Source organism: Homo sapiens, chromosome 1 (genome assembly GCF_000001405.40).
Source record: "Homo sapiens chromosome 1, GRCh38.p14 Primary Assembly".
Classification (NCBI taxonomy): Eukaryota; Metazoa; Chordata; class Mammalia; order Primates; family Hominidae; genus Homo; species Homo sapiens.
This window is the reverse complement of record NC_000001.11, coordinates 194,384,993-194,387,562: the sequence shown is the minus strand read 5'-3', so window position 1 is coordinate 194,387,562 and position 2,570 is coordinate 194,384,993. Positions and strand designations below refer to the sequence as shown.

At 33.0% G+C, this 2,570-nt stretch overlaps 1 annotated feature.

Moving 5' to 3' along the window:
• Positions 257–457: a silencer, noted in NCBI's record as "peak616 fragment used in MPRA reporter construct". NCBI's record gives its function as "represses an SCP1 promoter by STARR-seq MPRAs in K562 erythroleukemia cells {active_cell/tissue: K562}" and the evidence as "EXISTENCE:reporter gene assay evidence [ECO:0000049][PMID:32103011]".

The following is a 2,570-nucleotide window of genomic DNA, read 5'->3' as shown; positions in this document are numbered from 1 at the left end:
CACAGACCTAAGTGTATAAAGTGACAAGACATAGTTTATTAAAGGATCAAAGACCTCAGCCTCATTTCCTTGGTAGAGCTAATAGGCAGATCTAGGCAGTTAGAATGAAACACCAGATAGTCTGTGGGAGAATAAAACCATTGAGCATTACAGCAAGAGGAAGATGCCAGCCTGAAAGGTAATGCAAACTTCACTGACAGAGAAGGAAGAGGGGTTATGGATAATTTGGAACAAAAAGAACATTTACCTGATTATTATGTTTGTGGGTTAGAACTTGCTATCCATTGTTTTACACAAGAAACAAGCATATAACAGATTTATCTGACACAGTCTAGGCCATATAGTAAGTAGATCCAAGCCAGGTGATCGGGCATAGCTTTGTATTTCTACTACCATTTGATAACAAAATATGATCGAAGACAGTAATATCTGACATTGGTATGGATGGGACAGGTAAAGGTTTGAGGTTTTCTTGCTGGTTTTTATCAAGTCTTGGTTTACTGCTGAATAACAAACATCTCTCTAAGTTAGCTGGTTAGCAAATGAAAGAAGTTGCAATAATCTACTTAAAGAGTGTATCACAGTACAACTTCCCTCTTGTATACTTTTTAAATTTCACACTATGCCCCATAAGCCAGATTAGAAAGTGTAGTTAGCCAAGGGTTAGATAACCAGCTAACTCCCACTTTTGAATGAGAACAAAGACCTGAGGAGAGATGGTCCCACTGACCCCAAATTCTACTGAGATCCAGAGGTCTAAGCCAGCTGTGGTCCCTGTGGCACCCTCACTCTCTCCCAAATATGCCTATGACATTGGAGGACTGCTATGCAGCATAACTGGCTTACCGTGAACAAGCATATGTTCAAAGGTTTAATGGTGTGGATTTTGGTTTCATCTTCGCAATTAGCTTTTGTGATTATGTAAGTCTCTTAAACACAGAACCAATTTTATCTTTTGAAATGAGAATAATAAAAACAATAATGTCAGATTGTTTTGAGAATTAGTTAATGCATATAGAAAGCCCAGTAAAGGGCCAGAAAGAGAAGAGAATTTCAATGAAAGATAGTTACTAATTCTTTTCTCTACTTAGTAATTATTCCCCAAGATCAGTGAGTATAGTTTCACAAACCACTTCATACTTTCATGCTCATTGGCAAGAGAAATCTAATGAAAATCATACCCAGTGGTTTTATTATTTTATTACTGCTTAGTTGACAGAGGTATTTGCCAGAAAATATTTCACAATGTATGATGGATTTTCACCAGGTAAAATGATGATATTAACACTGAACTGTCAGAGAAATGAATCAGGATAATTTGCTTTGCGATACACTCTACAATATCTAAAAGACTCTATAATTCCTAAGTATATAGATAAAACGAAGAATGTGTTCCTAACAATATGTTTCTAAAATTTAAAAAATGGTGTTGGAAATACACCTGTATTCAAATACAGCAGTATTTGAAGAAACTAAATAAATATAAAATATTTTACCAATTGTGACATCAAAGTAAACATAATTAAAATATAAAGAAAACCCAGAAATATATAATACAAGCTTTATTACGAATAGATTATAAAAATTGGCAATGGAAATAAACAGTTGGCTTATGAAAGAAATGTATAGAACTAAACAAAAACAAAAAGTGCAATGTTAGCAATACACTCTAATTTTTTTTTGCATATAAAATTGTTAGAAGCATTAAAAGACTGTATTTTCCTCAGCTCTGGAGAGATTAATTATTTCTTATTTATTTCTGGGCATTTAAGTAGAAGGGTGTCTCTTGAGCAAAATCTGGTAGATTTTAAATAATTCATATTTTCACTTATAAGACCATGATGAAATATTTAAAGGAGGAGGAAAAGTATATATGTTTATTTCTTACTTTATTATTTATAATTACAAAATATTAAAACCATAAAAGTGTTTTATATAAAATGATTAACTGAATTATGTTATACACACCTGACAGAATGTTAGCCATTTACAACATTTTGAAACATAGTATTTAGAAGGAAAACAAAGCCGGTATAATAATTAATAAAAAGGCAATATTGAAAGGTTTCTTAATGTTCATTGTGTGTGTGTGTGCCGTTACAAAACCACACCTGCATCTACTATATTTTAGATCATTAGTCTAGACCAAGCATAATAATTCTATCACCCTTGCTACTGACTTACTTAGGAACTGTGATGTCACTCAAATCTGAGTGAGGATACTTGAAGGAGAATCTTCTGTGGAGCTTTGGTAAATGTTTCCCTCACTCCCAAGGGAGACCTGTAGATGCATTGCATGTGATTTCCAGCACTTGTCTTATTATCTCATGGCAATAAAACCAACATTGTGGATTGCAGACTCTGGATGAACAGACTTTGGGGCTCACCTACCTATGTATCTACTGTTTTCTTCACCTTCATTATTTAAATTAAACTTTAATTACTAATTAATTTTTAATTTTAATGAGTTTTTTCAGTGTGTCTAAATTAATACTATTTTACTACTCACAATCATTCACATAAGAATTCATCTGTGCAGGAAAAATGTTAAAAGAAAAAGTCCCCAAAAC